General features: G+C 36.5%; 1 protein-coding gene across 2 annotated transcripts in view; it reads right to left on the bottom strand.

Annotated features, from left to right (window-relative positions):
- The window catches only part of LAMA2 (laminin subunit alpha 2), a 633429-nt gene that overhangs the window by 407591 nt on the left and 199847 nt on the right, over positions 1-25991 (bottom strand). For both annotated transcript variants that reach the window (NM_000426.4, NM_001079823.2), the window contains exon 4: positions 10561-10803. In NM_000426.4, coding sequence (NP_000417.3) covers positions 10561-10803 — 243 coding nt within the window. The remainder of the gene's footprint in view (positions 1-10560; positions 10804-25991) is intronic.

The raw sequence follows: 25991 nt of genomic DNA, 5'->3' as shown, positions 1-25991 counted from the left end.
AAAACACTTTTTAAGTAGCTTCTATTGGATCTCCTGTAATGTGATCCTTATTAAAACCAAATCAGGTATGCGTTTTGAGGAATCTTCTGTGAGTAAAACCCATATCACCTTCCTTATGTGTTTATAGTATTTGTTCAACCATTAGTCAATCATTTCATATAGTAAACTTTTAGAGGAATAACATGTCTTAGGAACTTGGATAGCAAAAAACAAAACAAAATCTTAAAATTGCTTTAACAATTATGCATATAAGTTACTATTATTGTCTTGGGAAGAAATGTTGGTCAGTGGATCTTCTGTATTGCTATTAGCTTTTGGGATTTAGTATTGAAGGGAAAATGTAAGTTCCCTTAAAAGGGAAGGTCTTTTAAGAACAGCTGAAAGGGAGGCTACAGATGGGTTGAATGGGTGGGGTGTGTAGAGGGGCGGGATTAAGGAATACAAGCCTTCTCTAAATGTGGGTTACTTTCACTGAGGTTTTTATGGTCATATTTCCTATTGCCATGTAGAAGCAATGACTAAAGACACTAAAACACTAGACAAACAAAGTTATATTTAGACATCAAAAGCTCAAAATAAGCTAAGAGTAAAATGATCAAAAGTAATGCAAAAAGTCACTTTAAAAATTATTAAAGCAAACAAAATTCTAACAAGTCTATTGCACAACTGACATACATTAAATTCCAGAAACAAAAATAAAAAATATTTAAAAAACAACACAAAAGAAATATAAATATACATCATTTGCCAGAATAAAGCTTGAAGCAGAAAAACTGATAAATATAAATATGCCAAGATAAAATTATTAAAATCAGCATTTTAAAATCATTAAAAAGATTAAAAAATGAGCAAGATAAAGAGGTTAAGAAATCAATTAAAGTGAAGGTTAAAAAAACCTATTAGATATAAAAATGAAGTAATTCATCAAAGCTAAAAGGTAAAGAATTTTTTTAACCTAAAACATGAAAATACTAAAACCCCAAAATAAAAAATAAGCAGCAGCTCAAACTCAGGTCTGTGCAATCTCACATAGAGCTTCAGCAGGAACTGCTAGGAGGGGGGACTCCTGAGCTTATAGGGCAGAGCAGATTTTCCAGGAAACCCCAGACACAGAAGGAAACTTTTAGCTTTGTACCTTTCTGGTGCTCTGAGAATACACTGAATTCAAATCACAGCTCCAAAAATTACTAGCTGTGGAACCCTGGGAAAGTTATTTGACCTCTCTGTAATACCTGTTTCTCAACTGTAAAATGCGACAAGTATTAGTATATATGAATTTATACATGGGAAATTTCTTAGATTAACACCCTCCATAAAATAAATGTGCAACAAATGCTAGCCATCATTTATTATTATTATTATTGTTGTGGTTTTATTATTATTTTTGTCTACTTGGCCCTGGATTAACCCTACATTAGCACTGAGACCCTCACCTATTCCTTCTGGTCCTCCAACTTCAGCAAGCTTGTGGTTTTTTGCTTTGCTTATTCCTTCAGTCTTGTTCAGTAGCCTCTGCCTTCCCTAGCCATGGCCTCATGTGGTATGGCTGTGTCCCTCTCATGCTCCCCACTCTCATTCCAGGCTGAGCCAGCTCAGTCATTTCATAGTTAGGAGTGGGCTTAAGCCAATGTTAGCTACTGAACCTTGAGAATAAAAAGGCTGGAAATACTATCATATCGTAGAGGTTAAAGAGAGTTTTGCCATAAAAATCTAATTTGATCGTTATTATAACCACGTAAACTGGCTGGGGCACATATTAGATGGTTTACTCTTCTTTCTGAACCCTATTGTTAATCCTTGGCAGAGCTACCTGAAAGCCAAATCCAGGTAATTCCCCAAAAGTCAGTGTGCAGTGTCTTTGTACCTTCTTTCACAACCCTAAGCTTCCTTACCTAGCTTAACAGAAGCTTACCCTTCTGTTCCATATCAGTGGATCCTGTTCCACAACACTGAGAGAACCAGGTCTCTTAAATATTGGTGTTTTCTCCTCAGGATTCCATTCTCATTCAGTTTCTCTGGCCATCTTTGTTTTTCAACAATACTGCATTAATTTAACAGGGATTTGTGGATACTTTCTGGGCATTGTATATATATATATATTTTTTTTTTTTTTTGGAGGAGTAAGGGAGTCTAGTAACTGATCAACAAAGAAAAAGGAGGAATATAATCCTCTTAATTTTATCTTTATTTTATTAAAAAGATGTATTTTTAAAATGTAACAATAAATTACCTTAAATAAATTATGTATTTTATGTGTGTGTCATTTCAAAATATTTCAGCTGCTCTGTGTATTCCAACCAGAGTTGAAACATTTCATTTTTTAGAGGACTCCATATAAACCTCACTGTAAGGAGGTACTTTAATATTGTTGCTCCAGGTACTGATTGGCCCCACATTGGTCTAAAAAGAATTATTTTTAGAGAAAGGAAGCCTGAAACCCCAAATAATTATTTACCTAAATTTCTATTGAAAACCAATACAAATTAGTAATACTCCGCTGTTTCTCCCTAAAGGAACAATTGCAAGGGTAATTGAGAAAGGCTAGGTCTTCATTTCCATTCCCTCATTTCCATACAAACTCACATGCAAAATCATGTTATAACCTTAACAATGTTATATCAAAGGAGAATTTCTGAAACATTTTTTAATACAGTCTTGGGTTTGTGTCTTCCTTCTCCTGTATTTGCAATTCTAAGGACCACCATAATGTCAGATGATGAAAAGAGGAAGAAAAATATTCTGTCTGTATATATAAAATTCTGTCACATAGGAAATCAAAATAATATCAAAGCTCTACATACAGTTTACAAAAAAAAAAAAAAGTGTCTTCAAGATTTAATGATGGTTTCTCCAGGGATTTTTATACAAGCCTGCCATGTTTCAAAGCAGAATCAAAGTGAATCTAAGTTCCATTGAGCTGCAGTCCAGGAGAGTGAGAAGGTGGTGGTAAGAAGGAAAGGAAATCATATGTAAATAACTTAAAGGCCTCTGTATGAGGAAATGGAAGCAAAATCACTATGGTAACCACGAATATTTAGCTAGCAGTCTAGTGACAATCCAAATAAATTAAAAGCAATAATGTGAGTCAAAGAAAGGGAAAAGTCTCATACAACAGAAAAATATTATAATTTTAATTCTAGGATCTCTAAAGCAGTGCCATCTAGAAAGTTCGTCCTCCTCAATATTATTACTGTGATTCTTCTCTCAGATACCCCTTTGACCATCAATAACCTAGTTTTAGTTCGAAGTTTATTTGCTCAACTCAAACCTGCCAAGAGACTCAGTCCACCAAAACCTATCACATTTGTTGACAGAAAAAGTTAGTCTCTTTCTTCAGTTGGAAGTAGTTAGAATGACCAATATTCTTTCCCTAAATAACTGGTGCCCTGTTCTCCTACAGGGTTTAAAAGGCTGGAAATAGCTGAACATTAAGCCAGGAATACAGACATAAGAATCACCAAGAGTACTTGTTTAAAATATACATAGGGCTTAATGAGCCTCTGACAAATATAATGAATTAAAAGTTCTGGTCTCAGGAGTAGCTATTTTTCAAATGCTCCTAGGTGATTTCCAAGTAAAGCCAAGTTCTCAGGGTGCTTCCAAGTGGCAGTTCTTGTAAGCAGTTCTCAATAGCATCTGGGCTACTGCTTTCTGCAGAGGCAGCACTTGGGCTGTGATAGTAGCTCTCGATGGCTTGGTTCCCTGGGGCACTGCTGGACATGCATGTTATGTAGCTGTTCCCACAAGAGCTCTACCCTGTGGTTGGCCTCAAAGTAATGGAGGCCCCTGCAGTCTGTTGCTTCATACCCTGCAACTCCTATTAGGGAGCTCAGTATCATTTGCTCAAAGCAGGACAAAGTAGGGTCCCTGCTGAGCCTTCTCTTGGCATTGATGATAGAAAATTGCCCTTCTAAAATAAAACTGTTTTAAGGCTTTTGCTCAAAGCCTCCTTCTATTTGCAGCCTGGATAACGACATACCCAGTCATATTATTATCTTGCCTATATCCTCCATTATCCCTCCTTTGCCAGGCCCTGAGACTTGATACCTTACGATTATCTCATAGCTCAGAATAAGCTTCTCTTCTCCCTTTGGGTGCAGGCCTAGGATGCTAGGTTTCAGGGTTAAGCTCTTTCTTGGTAGTAGTTGAACCCAGTTCTCTAACATTTGTTGATCTCTTGAAATCAATGTGGAGTGGAGGGCAGAGAAGGGGCCAAACCAAACCATGAAGGGAAACAGGTGGGAGTAACTGGAGTAACAAACAAAGCCAAATAAAACATCAGAGATGATGCAATTAAGATTAAAGAGGCCATAAGGAAAGGCCAGACCTCTCCAGTGATGATATGAACATAGGGCAGTATTGAAGTTTGGATACAGAGGCTGAAATTGGGGGCTTGAATATCCTTTAATAGATTGATGAGAAATTTACCTAAGGTATCTTTCAGCTCTAATGTTCTAAAGATTTTGGCACATGTCTCAAAAATTCTTTAGACAAGTGGAAATGTAATAAACTTTAGACTCAGTGGATTTGGCATTAGTCACAAGAAAACTATTTCCTATTAATGTTCTAAGCCTAAAACATGAACATTGTTGTCTAACTAGTGTGTAACAATTGAGACATGTTTATTTCATAATGCCTTGTTACATGGGTGGGCCTTAAAAATTCCTCTGGGCCAGGCATGGTGGTTCATGTCTGTAATCTCAGAAGACTGTAACTTTAGAAGACTAAGGTGGAAAGATCACTTGAGGCCAGGAGTTTGAGAACGGCCTGGGCAACATAGCAAGACCCTGTCTCTACAAAAAAATTTTAAAAAATTAGCTGGAGGCTGATTTTTTAGGTAGGAAGATTTCTTGAGCCTAGGAGTTTGAGCCTGCAGTGAGCTATAATCATGCCACTGGACTCTAGCCTGATCAACACAATGAGAACCTGTTTGTAAAGAAGAAAGAAAAAAAAGGAAGGAAGGAAGGAAGGGAGGAAGGCAGAGAGGGAGGGACTTGTTTTTCTTATTTCTGACATATTTAAGGAATATTTTGAAGGTCTGGAAGAAAATGACCATTCAATGCTTAGTGAAAAATATACATTACAAATCACAGTAAATATTTAGATACTGCTGTCCACGTTAAAAATCTATCTAAAATATATACACCTACTATGTAACCATAAAAATTAAAAACATTTTAAAAATCTACCTATTAATAGAAGCACAAGCCCCATAAACCAATAAAAAAGAAAAAAATATGCATATATTAATAAAAAATGATTGATGCAATGAGAAACTGTTTCCTCTGTAGTATTGGTTCCCAAAATCCAGAAGCCCAGTTTAACCATGAAAAAACATCAGGCAAACCCAAACTGAATAATAGTCTATAAAATATCTCTAAATATCTCTTAAAATATTTCTTAAAATATCTCTTAAAACTGTCACAGATCAGTGACTAAATGCAAAATAGTACCTGAATTGGATCCCAGAAGAGAAAAAATGAAATTGGTAAAATGAATGAAACCTGAATAAGGTCTGTGGTTTAGATAACAATAATGTATCAATGCTAACTTCTTAGTTTTAACATGTGCATTGTCATTATTTAAGATATTATTCCTAGGGATAGCTGGATGAGGGAATGTGAGGATTCTCTATAATCTTCATACATGTGTGTAAACTTAACATAATTCCAAAATAAAAAAAATTAAATGCATGTGCAACTTCGCTTCTATTTATGGTAGATTATACAGTAAGAGTCAACACTCTCAATGACAACAACTAGACAAACTGGATAAATATACAAAAACATATGTTTAAAGCCATGTGAGAGCTATCAAGAGAGTGAAGATAACCTTCTCAACATCAAGGACAAAAGAGATGTCTAGACAGGTGATTGGTACGTTGTGACAGCTTTTGTCCTGTGAGCATTTTCCTGTCCAGACACATGGCTGAGAGACTGAGCAGCTCTTTTGACAGCCCTGCTGTATTAGGAGGACAAAAGTTGGATTCCAGGACTGCATGGGTGGGACTTTCGTAATTCCCACACACGCTGGCTTGGACTCCAAAGATAAGCAGCATGGGAATGAGCGTATACTGGAATTAAAGCAGCTGTCACTGGGTTATAGCAATGCTTTGAATCATCTGAATGTCCCAGAAATTTGAATCCCTAAAATTGAATTAAGATGATCCAGATTTCCATTGCCTGGCAGTAGCATCAGAAAGTTCACACAGGATGAAGACAATATACTAGCTCTCAAATTATTTCTACACATTCTCTTTCAAATACAACTTCTGTTATACAAAGATAATCAGGCACACAAGAATGTAAGACAGCATAAAAAGAATCAGCAGATGAAACAGAAAATAAAATATATCCAAAAAGGCCATATATTAGAATTATCAGACAAAAACTTTTAAAGATAATTTTTACTTTATGCTCAAGGAGATTAAAAATAGAATATTGAAAATTTTAGAATAAATCATATTATTAAATTAAAATTTTACTATAAATATAAAATTTCAATGTAAAATGAGAAACAACTTCTATTTGAAAATGAACCAGGCTGGGCACAGTGGCTCATGCCTGTAATCCTAGCACTTTGGGAGGCCAAGGTGGGCAGATCATGAGGTCAAGAGATCGAGACCATCCTGACCAACATGGTGAAACCCTGTCTGTACTGAAAACACAAAAATCAAGTGGACATGGTGGCACGCGCCTGTAATCCCAGCTACTCAGGAGGCTGAGGCAGGAGAACCACTTGAACCCGGGAACCCGGGAGGCGGAGGTTACAGTGAGCTGAGATGGCGCCACTGCACTCCAGCCTGGGTGACAGAGCGAGACTCGGTCTCAAAAAAAAAAAAAAAAGAAAGAAAGAAAAAAAGAAAATGAACCAGAGAAATTTAGAAACTGAAAAATATATGAAATTAAGAATCCTATGAATAACTTTAATAGCAATATTTACATAGCTGAGAAGAGAATTAATGAACTAGAAGTAATCCAGAAGAAAATACCTAGAATGAAGATACAGAAAGACAAAAGGATGAAAACTAAAGAAGAGAGTTTAAAATACATAGTGTATACAGTAAAAAGTTCCAAGTCATTTTTAATTAGAATCATAGAGCAGAGGGAATGCGGAAGAAGCAATATTTAGAGAGGTAATGACTGAACAGTTTTCTGAACTGATGAAAGACATCACTTTGCAGATATGTAGAAAATAAAAAGGTACAATCTAAAGTAGCATTGCCCAACAGAACTTTGTGCAATAATGGCAGTGTTGCTTTCTGCCCAATCCAGTGTGGTGGCTGCTAGTCCCATGTGGCTACTGAGTACTTGAAATGTGGCTAGTGTAATGGGGAAATGGAATTTTAATTTAATTTTGATTAACTGAAATTTAAATTTGAATTACCACATATGGCTAGTGGCTATTGTAGTGGGCAGTGAAGATCTGAAGCATCATAGTAAAACTACTGAAGAACAAAGAAAAAAATATTTAAATAAATCAGAGAAAAGTCACTCCAAAAGATAGTAATCGGATAGCTGCATTCTCTACATAAGCAATGGAAATCAGAAAACAATAAAATGTGCCAAAAGAAAATAACTGCAAACCTAGAATTCTACATCTGATAACAATATCCCTCAACAATGGAGGTAAATTCTGTATGTACCGAGTTTAACACATAGGCATTATTGGAGATGAATTTGCATATTGGCTTTGAGACTTTTGAGATAAGAGTTGTTGCTGGTTTTCCCATATTCTGAGAAGTTATCTTCTCAATGTGCCTCCTTCCACTCAAGCAGGGGGAGATTTATTGCTCTCTGTATACACTACTGTTACAGTACTTATGCAATCATGTTTTATTTACTGGTTTATATGTTTGTTTCTCTTATTTGACTGTCACTTCTCTGTAAAGTTTTGAACATAAACAATTAATAATTGTATTCCAGGGATTATGTGAAAGTACATAATTTTAAAACTAAAGCTGACGAGTGAGATTTATTCCACAGCTACTTTGTCTGGATAATGTTAGAGAAAAGTATCCAAAACTTTTAGAATATCCTCAAATGTTGTATGATAGCCAAAGCTATATTATTTTAGAAAATACCATGCTGCCTTAGAACAATCTGGGCATTGAACTAATTCATCTATTAAAGAAATTTAATCCCAGAGAGATTAAATCATTTGACCAAGGTCCCACAAATAACTGGAACCAGTACCAGAATCCAGGTCTTCTAATTCCTTGTGTCTTTTTCTATGCCATGATATATCAGAATTAGGATTCTTTCTACTTACATTAGATCCAGCAATATTGTATCTCCTCTGAACCATTTTTAAGTTTAGCGATTGTCAACTTTTAAAAGTCAACTTTTAATCCTTACCAGATTATGGATGAAATATTTACCTGAGAATCAGAGACCTCAATTATTATTTCAGTTATATTATCATTGAGCTGAGAGTCTTGGAGGATATCACCTGTCTATTCAAAAAAGTAACATATTCCACAAAGTAAGCTATATAAAATGAATAGATAGCCTAGGAGAGGTCTGAATTTAATTCTTATTCTTCAGTCTTATCATTCTATGGCAAATATTTTGAATTACTTTCTGTTCCTTATTTCATTCACTTCCCCATGAGTGACAAATAGACGTAAGGAAACATGTCACAGAGACAGTTCAGTCAGTTGCTCCTAATAGTTACCATCAATAAGCAGTTTTTAGTAAGTGTTGTTTAGGAGTGAAAACAATATAGCCAATTAAAGAAACTAACTAATTAACTAATAAACATGTCTTTTGTTTCATATTGGCAGGCTGACTTGGTTTAAGGAATGGAGAACCATTATTAATGAAGGGAGAGAATGGGTAGGGTATATGCTTGTGACACGCATGTTACATACCTGCCGAAGTGTATTTTATATTGCTTAATAAATTTCTGAATTGAATCATTTTTAAAGGTATAGAATAGTCTTAAATTGTTTGAGAATTATTAGTCTTATGTAAACTGAATCTAGGATAAAAAATAATAAAAATTCAACTCAAAACTCTTTCTGCACTCCCTACTCCCATATCCTCAGGCCAAACTGGCCAGGAATTGGATGCCTCTAGGCACAAAGCAGGTTGAACAGCTGTTTGACTCACTGCATTTGAGTCCTTGTCATTTGGCAGATTGAGATTTCTGCTGAGAGTACCATTTGGAATGTTTTTCCCCAAAACTGGTATTTTTGAACATGGAATTTAAAATATAGTGAAGCACTGGTATACATTAATATAAAAATAGTGCCTAATGAGGGTCTGACAGATTTATGCCAAAACCCTAATTTTCCCTAGAAGTGTTGAGAGATAACCCTAGATTGGCTGGGGTGGGCATGATAGAATGTGAATATGGGTTTTCTGAAAATGTAAATATAAATGATGATACTAGCTTCAGATGTTTGGACTATGTGGGAGAGAATATCAGACATGAGTATCAATGGAGATATACATAATTAGGTAGCATGAAAGGAGGTGGGTCACATATACTAAAGGGAGACAAGTCAGGGAAACATACTAAAGAAATATTGAATAATTCAAGAGAGTCACTAAGTCAAAGTTTGGGTATTTGAGAGAAGACTAAGGATAATAATAAAAATAATAGTAGTAATGGTTATTATTTCCTTAATGGCAACAAAACAATAAAAATAGCACAGAGTACTTAGTGTGCATTTCAGCATTGTTCTAATGCTTTAAATACAATAATGCATTTAATCCTCTTGACAATTATATGAGGTAAGAACTATTATTATTCCTGATTTATGGGCGATGAAACTGAGGTGCAGAGAATTTAAGTAACTGGATCAAGAACACACAACTAAGCCAGAAAACAAAAAAAAAAAAAACAAAAAAAAAACCTCCCCGCCCCCACATACAACTAATAAACTAATAACAACTGAAGCCATGGTTAGAATATGTGGCTTAAAATCAATGAATGAATCTAAAATCTTAACCACAGGATGACAGACACTGGAGAAGAACATATTTGAACTAAGCACGTAACCTAGCTTGCACATCACTGAGAACCTAAGACTTCCTGCACATTACTGTTCCACAAAGCCTGACCCAGGGAAGAAACCCCACTGTAGCCCTATGTGGTGACAGCAGAAAAACATCAAAAGATTGAAAGAATTACTTTTCATTTGGGTCTTTCATGTGGATTACATTTCTTCACAAATTCATTTCTTTTGTCTCCATCTTCAGACCAAAGTACACTCAAATGTAAGGCCACCTTTAAGGTCTCCAATCCTTCTCTAATCATTAGCAATCCTCATTGTTGAGAAAGTCTCTTTATATGTAAAATTAATCATTGACTTTCCAGATTAAACCTATTTCCTCTTCTCTGATCTTTACTGGAGATGGGAGACACATGAAGGTAGTTAAAATTCTAATCACCTCAGGTTTTTCTTTTTTATTTAATAACTCATTTAAATGTACTTTTGCTAAATCCTATTTTAAAATCTCCCTGACATTAATTACTGATATATTCAGGTCTTTCTGACAGGCCTATTTCACCGTATCAAATGTGCTTAAATGGTGAGTTTTCTCATCTTACCTCTCCATTTTCTAAGGGGTGTATCTTGGAGTAAAATGAAGTGCAGATGACCTCATCATCTTTGGCATATGACGGTGGCCCAGTGCGGGGATAAATATTGTAAAGCGTTAGGCACTCCGTGTCTGTCACAGCATGATACTGCCAGGGCTTGTATTCAACATCATCAAGAGAGCGTTCCAAAATCCAGTTTCCAGGCCGGGGGGAGTTAGCTGCCTTCACAATCACATACGCGATCTGGAACACCTAGGGAAGTATAACAACAACAATAACATTGAATTCCCAAATATTCTCATCATTTTATGTCAAATATAAGTCTAAATGCTACAGTAGATTTTATTTCAGATTTTATTCTATAATCTTATAATGTTCTCTGAAATGATTTTACTATTACAGGTTCATATCTAATAATTTTTTGCTAAGAAGTGATGTTTTGTTTTGACAACCATGGCTTTAAAAGAAATGGATTAAGACTGGATTTTAGTAACAACTCATTGGCAACATTTCACCTGATGTTTAAAGTTCCATTATAATTATTACCACCTAAAACATTTATTAATAGTACATACCAATTTACTCACCTTACTGTGTTAAAGACTGTAAAATACAAGCTAGAAATTCCCAGTGTGAATAGTGCTTGATAGTTTAGAAAACTTGTTTACTTATATCACATAATCCTCAAAAAAGTGCCATTTAGAGGCAGTTAGTATGGTACAGCAAAAACAACATAAACACATTCCTATGTTCAGATTGTGGTTCTAGCATTGTGGCAGTAAATCCTCAATAAATGTCCATTCCTTTACATCCCCAAATAGAAAATAATGGAGGAGAAATTCCAGTGTTATGAAGACAACGGATTGAACCTGAAACACATTAAATGAAGGGTTTCTGTACCTTCTCTTTACAAAAGGTAAACATGCAAGAAAAGGGGTGAAATAAAGAGGTATTGTTACTGTTAACAGAGTGACAATGGAGAGGAATGTGGCAATGCTCTATTTACAAATTTATATAGAATTTGAAGACGTAAAAAAAGAAATATTCTAGATGTTTTGTGGTAGTGCATATCTGTGTCTTTACCAATGTAGTCCAAAAGAATAGTGAAGAAACATTATGGAATGACATTTATGTACAATGTTCTAGGTAGAAAGACAGATATGAATTAGTTTAAATTACTATTCCACCATCAATGTGTTGTTAATATATTGTAATAATGAGACAAATGAAAAGTGCTATAATAATAAAACAGTATGATATGTTCTTGACTAGTAAATGCTATGAGGTATGAGAGCTTGGCAGCTCTAAGCTCTAAGTGGATGAGGTCACTGGTGGGGCACAATTGGGAGGACAGGCTCACTACAATGTGATTAACAGGACTGCTGAGCTACAGAGGGAATCCTGAAAGGGATGCTCTAGAAACAAATTTTATCTGCTTCATAGTTTTGACATGGTAACTCATGCATACGTGTATAGGATCTATGGTATACCCTAAGGGACTAGATTTAAAAATATAAAAATTTGGTATGGAATGCGGTAATACAGGTGGCTCTGATGCTATTCCTTCAAGATGTTTACTTGAATGCATGCATGCTTGAGAGCCATGGAGGGGAAATCACCCATCGAATGAGTCAAAGTAGGGTTAGTATTAGCCTTTTAGGCACAGTTGTGGAACAACTAGTGGATAAAATACTGAAATGCTTCTGTACTTGTTGACAAATCACTGCTGCCCAACCTCCCAAATGCCTCCTCTCCCCTGAGACCATCTGATTGACCCCAGCATAGCAAGGACAGCCAAGATATTTGTCCTGAGGGGTCTGGGCTTTGAGCATTCTGTTTTATTGAGTATCACTGCAGGTGAGAAATACTGATGAATTTATATTTACAAAGGCATATAGATAGGTATAACTGCAGATAGACACACATATCTATGTATGTGCCTGTAACTGCTTGAATATGCCAAGACATTTTGGGAGAGGAATTATGTGAACATATTAAAGCTGCCACCTTTAGGAGTCAAGAAAAGAGGAGGACTTTTATTTTCCATCCCGTATTCTGCTATATTTTTTGTATGAACATAAATGTTTTACTTTTAAATAAAATTATCTTTAAAATAAAGACAAAGTAAAATAAGTAACAGAGAAAGGGCAAAAGTAGGAACAACATAGAATATGTTACATCAACCACTATAAAAGATATTTGCTACTTATGCATTTTTAGGTATTATTCATAAGGAATTGTTTTTTAGACAGTTCATATTGAACAACTCATCACGTAGAATGTCTTTATATAGAAATTCAACAAGAAACATACCAATGGATTAATCTTATAAAATGCACAGATAGAGTTGTCTCTGCTATAAAATATGAAATATCTTGGTCCTAACTACTGATAATCCCAAAGTATTCCTGACAAGGTCTTAAAATCATAAAGAAGAAGAATAACTAAATTGTGGGCTTGTGGAGGCCAGGGCCTCTAGCTTTTACACTTTTTTTTTTTTTCCAGACTGCGTCCTGCTCTGTTGTCCAGGATGGAGTGCAATGGCGCAAGCTTGGCTCACTGCAACCTCTGCCTCCCAGGTTCAAGCAATTCTCCTGCCTCAGCCTCCCAAGTAGCTGGATTACAGGCAGGTGCCACTGCGCCTGGCTAATTTTTTTTTTTTTTTTTTTTGTATTTAGTAGAGATGGAGTTTCACCATATTGGTAAGGCTGGTCTCAAACTCCTAACCTCAGGTGATCCACTTGCCTCAGCCTCACAAAGTGTTGGGATTACAGGCATGAGCCACCGTGCCCGGCCAGCTTGTACATCTTTAACCCATAACCCATGTCCCATTAGGAAAAAAAATGTACAGCTCACTGCCAGCTCTCATTTAATTTTACATAAACACATTTTTTGAGGCTGAAGCAAATCTGACTTATTTTCAATGTGAAAATAAAATATAAAAACGTTTCTTAGAGTTATTTCTAAATAAAACTTATCTCTAATCCTAATGTAACAGAAATGTATATGATGATCAGAATTTAATAATTTTTTATATAGGAATGCTGTATTTTCTAGGATTTGATTTCAGCAATCAATAATTACTATATTTTGTATATGGAAATACTACTATCAAACACAGAATGCTACAAATAGAATGATGTCTTTTGTTTCCAAAGTCAATATGCTAGACCTATGCAAAAATAATAATAAAAGTGAGATATTTCATGGCAAACTTTGGGGATAAGGTTAGGACAGTAAGCCACAAGTTATCTCAGGGTAAACATTAAGCCACAAATGCTGTCTGCAAGTATTCTTCAGGCAAATGAGAAATGGGTTAAAGATGCTATATTCCTTATTATAATTCTTCTGAAATGGTGGGCATTTGATATTTATTACATTTAGTTGGATAGCCAAAATCACTGTAATGTGCTTCCACGTTATGGTTATTAGTTTGACATTGGTCTTGCCTGTTTGTTAGAGCTTGAATCCCAGTTAGCATATATTGTCATCTGCAGGAACTAAGGCATACGTTCCTGGAGTATTTGTCCTATTAGGTCTCTGTGAGCTGAGAAAATTACTGAAACTCTTTTACCCTCTGTTATCCATTGTTTCTTTTCTAAAGACACAACCAGGGAAGAGATAATGAGATAATGAATACAAAATACTGCGTGTTCTTGTGAAAGAGAGAATCTAGGTAAATATTCCAAGTGAGCCTGTTTCCTTCCAGAAAAAATAAAAACATAGAGATTTTTTTAAAGATATAAAACAAAAAGAGAGATAGCAAAGCATATTAGAGATCACAGGTACCCACTAAGAAAAATAAGACTACACTAAGGTTATGGATAAAGAACTTTGCTTAGAAAGCACTGAGTATGCAAATATGTGATAAGGCCAAGTTCTCATGCAGCTACAATGTGGATTTATGACTTCATAGCTCCTGTGTTGGCTCTGGAATAATAGATAAAAATAATCCACGAAGAGAAGTTCTACTAGAGACCCCACAGACTCTTTCTATAATTCAACATAACTGCCAGCAGTGACACGGAAAAGCAGTCACCGCCTTACAGAAGACTGAATGAGTCCCATTTCAAAACAATATCCCTCTTTCATTTATTTTCTATGGGTTCTTTCACATTCCATGCAAAATTAATTAAATTTGTTGGCATGGAATTTCTTTTGGACTTCTTAAATGACTTGAAAGTCATGTAGTTTTTGAGTAAACTTTTAAAATGTAGTGAATAGCATTATTAAAAATGTAATAAATAGCAGTATTCTTAGCAGGCTTCAGAGAGTAACTGTAACAATTTTAACAGTGATTTTCTAAGTACTGTACTCCAAATATTTAATGGCCCTAATAAAATAACTCTCTAATGTTTTCTATGCTACTTTTATTAACTGTGTCTTGTTTTCATTATAAAGACTCTTCAAAATCAGTAGTTATAATACCTCATTTCCAGATGATTAACCCCCACCCCAGTCTGTTCTGGTGTGCAGCAGGGAAGGCAGACTCCCCACTAGTAAGTATTAAAATGCTATGACTGCTAGGCTTTGAGGAACCTAAGAGAACATCTCATGATATCCAAGTGTCTTTTCTGTTGAAGGGCACTTGTTACAAACTTGGTGTCTTAAAAAAATCCCAAATAACTTTAAAAACAATATCAAGTGTTTGACAATTTACATAACAAAGGGAACTTTCTATTTCATATTCCATTTGTTACTCATTTGCATGTCACCTAACAAAATATCATTTAATTACTGATGTAGCATTGAATTAGATGTTCCTCCTATAATAAGAAGAGTATTAAGAACTTGATCTCATTTAGTGTGGAAATGGAGAATAGGGTCTTTCTTAAGAATCCTTTAGTCTCAAAATAATAAGCAACGGACAATGATCATCACATAGAGTTATGCTTTCCAATCTTGAACATCATGGCTAAGATAAAATGATATTTGTACAGCACTGGGGTTTTTACCAGTGTTCAGGAGACCTCATAGCTTGAAGTGAGCAGCCCAGGAACTCTAGCTACTCTAGACCCTTCCCTGCAGCTTAATATCTTAGCTCACCTATACCCATGTTAGTTAAGTCTGAAAACCAGAATCAGTTTCTAGAACATGCATTGCTAAGTCTTGATTTAAAAAAAAAAAAAAATCCTCGGCCGGGCACGGTGGCTCACGCCTGTAATCCCAGCACTTTGGGAGGCTGGGGCAGGCGGATCACGATGTCAGGAGTTCGAGACCAGCCTGGCCAATATGGTGAAACTCCGTCTCTACTAAAAAATACAAAAAAAAAAAATTAGTCGGGGGTGGTGGTGGGCGCCTGTAATCCCAGCTACTCCGGAAGCTGAGGCAGGAGAATCGCTTGAAAATCGGAAGGCGGAGGTTGCAGTGAGCCGAGATCACACCACTGCACTCGGGAACCCATTGTATCCCAGATCCTTTGTCCCCAGAAGAATCACAAATCTAAGAAATGCTACTAAAGAGTATTGTGTTTTGGAGATTTACAGAGACTTTTGAGCACCACTGTTACACAGTTAAGAGACCCAGCCAAAGTGTGATTCTGTAATGATGTAATAAGGCCATAGGACTTCTGTTTCCTTAGGCTGATCTCCACAAAAGCCGTAAAAAATATTAATGAAGGTCACTCTCTATGGAAGACAATGCTTTATCCTTCTCATAGGACCTGACTTACTCTCTTCTATTTATTCTTTCTTAATCTCTCAAGAGAACAGCATGTGTCTAATTTCTGCTCAATGTTGAGCTCCGCCTCCTTCCCATATTGCTATTTGTCCCTGAACTCCTATAGCAAATTGATGTGCATGGAACGAAAATGCTTCACTTCTAAAGAGGTTCTGCACTTTTCTAGTATGTGCTCTTGCCCATGTTATGGATTTTAACATTTCCATGTACTGTGATGCCATCTCTAATATATTTGGAAAGCTCATCTGTACTCTCAGTTCTAATAGTGCGTTTTTCAATTCTCTTATTTATCCAAATAGGAACGGTGGCTTTCATTAAGTGATGAGAGTTATACAATATCAGAACCAGAAAGGATCATAGACATCATGTTTTCAAGCTTAATACCCATTGGAATAATCTGGGAATCTTTATAGAACTGCAGGTAATGTCTCTCTGTTTGAGTTGATACATATAGCCAATACAATTATCAGCTCTTCCCCTGTGACGCTAAAGAAAAAAGAAAGAAAGAAAATAGAAACCAATAACAAGAAAAGGATGAGAAGGGTTTAACATTTTTCTGGAAGGTCTGTGGTGAGTTGCTGAGGAAGGAGAGCGGAGGTCATGGCCTAAAGTACTGAGTAGCTGCAGCAGGGCAGAAGTCTAGAACCTCACCGAGGTAGGTCTGATGAAAACAGAGGTGAAAAGTGGGCTGAAATGGAGAATGTATTAAGTCTGTGTACAACAGAGGATTCACTCAAAGCCCCATCCCCACCTAAGCCACATAGAACCTGGCTCTTACTGTGTAACAAAAATGTGTAGGCAATCTCAGAAAATTGTTCACTCTCATCTTAAAAATTCCCTGAAGAGATACTTATACAGATTCTGACAATGCTATAAGTGGACTTGTTTAAGTCAAGCATCAGTGATAAAATTTTTAAATGATGTTTTAAACTTAAAAACATTAATGTGGAAATATGTCTAATTATTATTTTCTGTGTGAGTTTTATGTCCCCTTATAAGTTTACATTTACTTCAATAAACCTAGAATAATGTGGTGGGGAGTTCAGGAGGAGCTTGCCCACCCATATTTTCTATCTTCAGGTAAATTTACTTCAAATACTTTCACATATAGTGAAACGATTTGTAATTGTCACTGAATTATTAAGTGCAACCCACTTATCCAACCTCCTACCCCTACCCCCACAAGTGTGTACTGCAATTAATTGCTAAGCATGAAATTCCTGAAGTTGCAGGTAAGCAAACAGGCCATTTCACCTCCTGTGTTGTAACTGGCTCCTGTATTATAAGAGAAAAAGGAATACTCTGCCCTCAGTTAAAACAGACTTTTTATACTCACATTAAACTCATGAGAAGTTAACACATTGGAAAATGAATTATTCCACCACCTCAGAATTCCTAATAATAATAATCTAACTGGATGACTAATGATAATACTTTGAAGAGAACATTTTCAATTATTTGTTGAAATTGTTTTTCAAAAGGGTTTAAATCAATGCCTAACTCTTCAAGGGACAGTATTTGAAGGACTTCTCTATCTCACTCTGCAAAAAAGCAAATCTCAAAGTCTAGCTCTGAAAAATAGCAAGACTTATTTTCAATGTCCCTAAGAGAATATATAAATGTAATGCAATTTCATTTTTTCATGAAAATGTTATTTTTTTTCCTTAGTGCTGAACGACTTGATTATAAATGTGATTTGGAAGAATTTTAACAAGCAATAATAAGCAAGAAAACCCTGAGATGGAAGAGCAATGAATGGCGGGATTTATTGTTAAATGAAAAAAGCAACATGGAGTAAATTGCTATAGTACACAGGATGCTACAGTTTACCACAAGGTTCACTGTGTATAGTTTACTGTGCAGTTTACTATGAAGGGAGCCCCCATAAAATGATGGACCTGTGGCCATTAATGCTGATCAATGACCAGAAACATCCCCAAAAAAGAGACACCCAGATATTTTCTGCAGTGTGATGGAAGCACATAGCACAATCTATAAAGTGGTTGTGCCAAAAATATGAACCCTGAATCAGAGTAACTCTCTAAATTTATCTATCAGTTTTCAGGAAATATAGTAGTAGAGAAATATGCAAACAGTACTACAGGAACCCTAAGTAGCAAAATGCAGGATGTAAGAAACACTACTGGACACACAACGTGGTTTCTTCAAAAAAATAAGTTGCAAGGAAGTTAAAATGTTATTGATTGAGAGACCTAGATATATCGAACAAATGCAGTATGTGACTTCTTGTGAATCCTGATTCAACTGTTTTTAAAAAACTTGGAAGCAGGTGTGATGAATTTGAATACTGAGTAAATATTTGTTAATATTAAAGAATCAGTATAATAGTATTAATTTTTAGATGTGACAATGGTTTCCTTTATAAAAGAGTCTTATCCTTCAGAGATACATAATGAAGTAGTTACAAAGCGAGTAATACATATGGAATTTGCTTCCCAATAATCTGGAGGGGTGGAGTAGGATGTGGATGGGTTGAAAACTGATACAAGAGGGGTCCTGAGTTAATACTTATGGATGGGTGTTGGGTACATTTGAGTCCACGGTATTCTCTATACTTTTGTGTATATTTGAAAATTTTTATATCAGAATAAAAAAGCTTGCTAATGCATCTCATTTTAGTAAACAAACTATTGATTCCCTTTCACATAATAATATTACTACTACTGGTAATTTAGTGCTTGCTCTTACGGAGCAAACATTTAATGCATTTTCTTAATTATCTTGATAAATGGTTAACTCTGCCTCTTACTGTGAATACACTGCATTCTTAGCTCAAGAAATATGCTTTAATAATTCTTTCAAATTAATTATCAGCTCTAAAGGGTATCGTTGGCCCATAAGGTCTCACAATTTTAGTCCAGTCTTAAGAAAACGAGTAACACGAGTGAGCAGAGTCCAAATTGGAATGAATAAGGTCCTCCCTCAGCTTATTAATGCATTTAGTACGCCATGCTTCATTAAGTTGCTATCATTTTTAACAACGTCAGCTGCAGGGAAAACCCAGGCAAGCATTTTCCTTGTCTTTAGCACTACCCTTGACATCTATTCTCTTCTCACATATTTTTCTCTCATTTGAAACAATCTGTGGTTTCAAAAGATTGACCTGCCTCCTGTGAATAAGTCATTGGCACAGCATGGCTTTCCCACCAGCTACTGGTAAAAGAGCAGGTAGGCTGAGTTCCTCATGGAACATGACAGTCCTTTCAATGAAACTGTCACAGAGTACAACAATGGTGTGAATCACAGGCAATCAGAAATATGACAGTTTAAATTTGCCTTCTAAAATTTATTCACCCTGGAGAAATACCTGGCATTGCCTTTGTTTTTTGTGCTTCTGTATTTACCAAGGTAAGATGAACCTACACATTCTCCAATTTATGACATTACACACATAAATGAATCACTCTAGTTCAAAGCATTTGGGGACTAATAGCAAAGATTTGTAGTGATGGGAAGTGTTAGAAGTATAATGTTAACAGAGTAGAATAACAAATCAAAGACAGAAGAAAGTTTCTGATCTTGGTTCATGAATTCTTTCAACAGATCAGAGTCACTTAACACTTAGTCAATTTTAGCTATTGCAAATGAAATATCATCATCTACCGGGCTGGTCTCCAGCTCCTAACCGCGAGTGATCTGCCAGCCTCGGCCTCCCGAGGTGCCGAGATTGCAGACGGAGTCTCGTTCACTCAGTGCTCAATGTTGCCCAGGCTGGAGTGCAGTGGTGTGATCTCGGCTAGCTACAACCTCCACCTCCCAGCCGCCTGCCTTGGCCTCCCAAAGTGCCGAGTTTGCAGCCTCTGCCCGGCCGCCACCCCGTCTGGGAAGTGAGGAGCGTCTCTGCCTGGCCGCCCATCGTCTGGGATGTAAGGAGCCCCTCTGCCTGGCTACCCAGTCTGGGAAGTGAGGAGTGCCTCTTCCGGACCGCCATCCCGTCTAGGAAGTGAGGAGCGTCTCTGCCCGGCCGCTGCGTCTGAGAAGTGAGGAGCCCCTCTGCCCGGCAGCCGCCCCATCTGAGAAGTGAGGAACCCCTCCGCCCGGCAGCCGCCCCGTCTGAGAAGTGAGGAGCCCCTCCGCCCGGCAGCTACCCCATCTGGGAAGTGAGGAGCGTCTCCGCCCGGCAGCCACCCCGTCCGGGAGGGAGGTGGGGGCAGCCCCCACCCTGCCAGCCGCCCCGTCCAGGAGGGAGGTAGGGGGCAGCCCCCGCCTGGCCAGCCACCCCGTCTGGGAGGGAGGTGGGGGGCGCCTCTACCGGCCACCCCTTCTGGGAAGTGAGGAGCCCCTCTGCCCAGCCGCCACCCCATCTGGGAGGTGTACCCAGCAGCTCATTGAGAACGGGCCATGATGATGATGGTGGTTTTGTGGAATAGAAAAGGGGGAAATGTGGGGAAAAGATAGAGAAATCAGATTGTTGCTGTGTCTGTGTAGAAAGAAGTAGACATAGGAGACTCCATTTTGTTCTGTACTAAGAAAGATTCTTCTGCCTTGGGATGCTGTTGATCTATGACCTTACTCCCAACCCCGTGCTCTCTGAAACATGTGCTGTGTCCACTCAGGGTTGAATGGATTAAGGGCGGTACAAGATGTGCTTTGTTAAACAGATGCTTTAAGGCAGCATGCGCGTTAAGAGTCATCAGGACTCCCTGATCTCAAGTACCCAGGGACACAAACACGGCGGAAGGCCGCAGGGTCCTCTGCCTAGGAAAACCAGAGACCTTTGTTCACTTGTTTATCTGCTGACCTTCCCTCCACTATTGTCCCGTGACCCTGCCAAATCCCCCTCTGTGAGAAACACCCAAGAATGATTAATAAAAAAAATAAATAAATAAAATTAAATTAAAAAAAAAAGAAATATCATCATCTATTTCCAAGCTTATGTATTGCCCCATTTTCTTATCCTTCTCTAGGGACTTTCTTAAGAGTAGCCTGTACCCTCTGCTGTTTACTACTTTACCACTCCTTTTCTACTTGATCCCTTGTAGTCCATGCATGACCTAATCACCCTATTACAATCACTCTCAGGAGTTATTATAACCTGCTTGCAAAATTCAGTCTTTCTCCATCATCCTTATCTTTAAAGTGTCCACAGATTTTGATTATGTTGTTCTTCTCCTTTCTGAAATTTTCTTTGGAAAAGTAATATCTATTAATAATTTAGAGATTTTCTTTTAATAAAAGGAAACCACATTTTCCTAATACAGCTCCTTGCCTAAAATGGAAGGTTAACAATGGCAGAGGAGAGAATGAAGATAGAAGGAGTGTCCAGAAGACAGCACTAACTGAATTTCTCTCCAACCCCTGTATGTGCGCCCCTGCTGTGGTTCTTGTTAATTAGAGCTTTTTAAACAAAGGTGTGTCCCAATGTTATAATTCCTAATAATCTTTCCCTTGGGGAAAATAACATTTTATTTAGGACCTACTTTTTGCCAGGCACTTTATTACACAGAAATTTGTTTCTGCTAACAAGAACTCTAAGAGACAGGTAGTAACTGATTAGAAAATTGAAATGAGATAGGCTAGTTATGGTAGAGTAAACAGTGGTCCCTCAAAGACGTCTATATTTAATTCTTGGAACCTGTGAATATGACCCTTTTTATGGCAAAGGGAACTTTGTAGATATGATTCAGTTAAAGACCTTGAGATGAAAGGATCACCCTGGATAATCCACTGGGCTCAATGTAATCATAAGGGTCCTGAAAAGTATAAGAGGGAGGCAAAAGAAGAGGTTAGGGTGGTACAACGAAGGATTCAACCTGTTCCTGGCTTTGAAGATGGAGGAAGGGGTCATGAGCCAAAGGATGCAGGTAGCCTGTAGAAACTGATTCTTTCAGCTTCTATCCTAAATGAATGAATTTTAGAAAATGAATTCTACCTTAGAGCCTCCAGAAAGAAATGCAATACTACCCACACCTGGACTTTAGCTCAGTGAGACTTGTGTCAGACTACTAACCTATTAAACTGTGAGATAAATTTGTGAGGTTTTAAGCCATTAAGTTTGTGGTAATATGTTGTGTTAACAAAAGAAAACTGATACACTAGGTAATTTGTGCTACTTCACCTGACTAGTACATTATGGAGCAACTTCATAGATCCAGTTTTGCCTACTTTTGCTTTTTGCAAAATACCTTTCATGCCTATGAGTATTTCAACTAACTTCTTTATACAGATATTTTCTACATCTGAATTTCTAACCTAAGGTTATTCTCATGTCTCATTTTATATTTTAAATTAACAACTGAGCATTTCTTTTTGATAATTTAATTTTGTTTTGTTATGAAGCAAGTTTGCCTTTATTTTACCACCAAAACTGTTATAAGTTGCTAGCAGTAGATACCATAGAATATAAATGTCTGTTAATGTCTTGTATATAAAAGATGCTCAGTTATTTTTAAAGTTCAATTGAATAGATTATGAAAAATGGGATACCACCTCTCAGATGGTTTCAGGTACCTCTGCACGTACCTAATGGGTGAACATATCTAACCAACACAACATTAATAAATAGGGATGCTGCACCCTGCATTGATAGATGAGAAGTTCTACCAAAATGACAATCTTAAATATTTCTAAATCACACATTCTTTCTTCAAAACGAAGACTTGCAAAAGAGAGCATTCCGCCAACAGTTTGTCAAGCTGGTCTTTAGCCTTCACCCTAAATTTTAAAGTGGTGACCTCAATTGCCAATGAAGTGTGAAGAGTGTAAATAAAAGGAAAAAATGAGACGGCTGCAAGCCTGATGTCATTTTGGATGTGATTTAAAAACAAGGAGAGGAGATGATGCTCATCTAACTATACAGACATTTTCTCAAGATGGAATGCAAAGCAGTTAACAAAAGTTTCTGAAAAGCTACCATTTTTAAGAGGACATGATAAAAATCTTACAACAATCACCCTGCAAATTCTTCTCCTTGTATTTTCTCCCAATTTTTCTGAATTTTATACTAACCACATAATAATACAACTTCAGTGACATCAGGTCAGAAATGATTTATGAAGTGCTGAGAGCTGGATTTCTGAAGCTCAAAAGGACCCGTGGAACTCACAGTCCTTAGAGAACTCCTCCGTCCTTTTCATGCTGCCTTCAGAAAAATACGTTTTGCTGTTAGCAAGTTTGGCTGCTCATGTTCCTTCCAAAGTTCCTCACATTGGCCTAATTGGTTCCAACAGAGTAAAAGTCCTTTTTTAAAAACATGTTACCATTGGAGAAAATCAAGTGTCTAGTTTAATCAAACTAGGACTCATGCTACAGGAGGCAAAAAAGGAGAAGAATTTTAAAAGTGACATGAGAACAGATTTCTAACATTAATATTTTTCCAATTCAACAGGTTATGAGTGTCACAAAAAATCATGGTTATAGTTGTCCCCAAAAGGATGAATAATTTTGGAGACTTTCTGTAATGCCATGTGTCCTGCTGTGAGCATTCAATCATCCCTTAACATTTGTAAAAGCCTTCACTAGAAAAGTCTATAGACATTTCCATTTAAAGTAGGACAAAATGTCATGAAATTCTGATTCTTAAATCCCTGTCCAATAAAACATTTAATCACAAAATCTAGAAGCAAATCTTAGAAAACAACATATCTTTAGGAAACAGAAGTAGTATTTCACCAATATGGAATCAAACTCTTCCTCATTTGTGATACCCAAGGGATAAAACTGAGTCCATGGGGCTTCCTGGGCAGTCTGTCTGACTACAATTACTTAACAGCAAATGGTAAAGCAGGAAGATCTTCAGTAGCATAACCAGACACTATAAACTGAGTCCATGTGAATGGCAAAGACTGGATAACAGAACACCATGTAATTCTACTATGAACATATGTGTAAACAGATATCATAAAAATACTTTAATGAAGTATTTCATTATGAAGCCAAGACTCTGTTAAACCTAAACATAAGTGGATGGTTGTAAAATGATTGCAGCCATTGGCAAAGCCTTATTAGAGGTATGAAGAATGGAGGCTTAACTTTTCCTTATCCCAGGGTTTATGCCTGCAGTGAGTCTAAGAATGGTACTGCAAATGGTGAAAAGGAACAGCAGGTAGTAAATACTGTTCACTTATTGAAAGCTGATTTTACATACATTTTGCATGGAGGGGACTTTTTCATTGTTTGCCTGCTCAGCATATTACACTATCAAATATCATCACTGATAGAAGTGAAGAACAACAGTACAACTATTAAAATTCTTCAGTTAATCATTTTTGTGTCTAGGTCAGAAACTTCAAAATTAGAATACAAGCCAAAAGAAGGTCATGATTTGAATTGTAGATATTCTTGACATGAACAACATTTTAGAAATGTATCACATGCTTAAAGTACACAATATACCAGACTAACTTCAGATCAATTTTTGCAGCTTAAACATAAATGAAATTATTTAAAGATGAACAGAATACATTTAAATATCTACATTCTCAGTAATCTTTTTAGGAGGTTGAAAAGAGAACATTCAAATGGGGATTGAGGTGACTCTTCAATTAAGAAGAGTGGGAAGGACAGTTGTGCCTGCAGTCAAACCTGCTTTGGCTAGCATTACTCTCACCTTTGTTTTTCAAAATATGTATTGCAGATTTTAATATTCTGCATTTCCATATATATTTTAAAGACCACAGAGTGACATATTAACTTGTTCACTAATCCATTTGTTTTACAAATATTATCAAGCAACACATTGCTTATTGTGCCGGCCTTTAACTTAGGTGTTAATATAGAGTGGTAAAGAAAAATTTGAACAGGCAATACACCTGCGGTGCAGTTTGCACTGGCTCTCAAAATCTAATCGTGTGTATCTTTTCTCACACATATACTTCCTTCATAAAGTTGTGAGGATTACAAAACATAATACATGTGAAATACCTAGATCAGTGTTTGGTCCATATTAAGCCTCGTTAAATACTAGTTATAATCAATAGTGATATTTTCACCTATTCCAGGTTGATACGTTGGATCTAAGCTATACTTTTTATGTAATCTTGAAAAGGAAAGAACACGAGTATCAACTTGGCAAGAGAACCTACATCTACTTTGAAACTTTTAACAAACACAGAGAGAAAGAGAAATTAGATTAGTGGACAAAAATCTTTGAGTTGGAGGTAAAGTCAGCTTGGGTCTTCACTCCCATCTATTCTTATAATTCCCCCATCAACAGTCATTTGATTTGGTGTTGTTTTTTGTTTGTTTGTTTTTATTATTGCAATGAATAAAGAACAAAGAAAGAAGATTGCAAATGCAATGGCAGTGTACTTTCAAATTTATTTAATTATTGATAGAAATGTATCACTTGGTTTGAAAGGCAACATTGTGGGCTCTCATGATACTGGCTGACACCATAAAGTCAGTGGTATTCCCTGAGGTTCTGCTAGCTGTTCTGTCTCGCTTATGTTACCCTGGCATTTCAGGGAGTCCACAGTTCCAAAGAAGTCTTGGAAGCAGGAAAATAGTCTATAAGATCATACATTTGCAATTTAATTTTTAAATAACTAAGTTTCAAATACTACACAGTTACATGGGGATGTTCACAATATAATATCCAGTTACAAAATGTAAAACTTTATAAAGTTTATTTTTATCTTTATTAGTGTGCTGCCCATTTTATATATATGTATTTGTGTGTACACGTGTGTGTGTGTGTGTGTGTGTGTGAGCAGAGGAGAACTAGACAGAAATAAATCCAAACGTTAATGGTGTTAACTATTTTTTATAAGATAAAAAAATCAGAATCTATATTGAAAACT

This window comes from Homo sapiens, chromosome 6 (assembly GCF_000001405.40).
Source record: "Homo sapiens chromosome 6, GRCh38.p14 Primary Assembly".
NCBI classification, from domain to species: Eukaryota; Metazoa; Chordata; class Mammalia; order Primates; family Hominidae; genus Homo; species Homo sapiens.
Note: the sequence above shows the minus strand (reverse complement) of the source record. Positions and strands in the feature narration are given on the sequence as shown.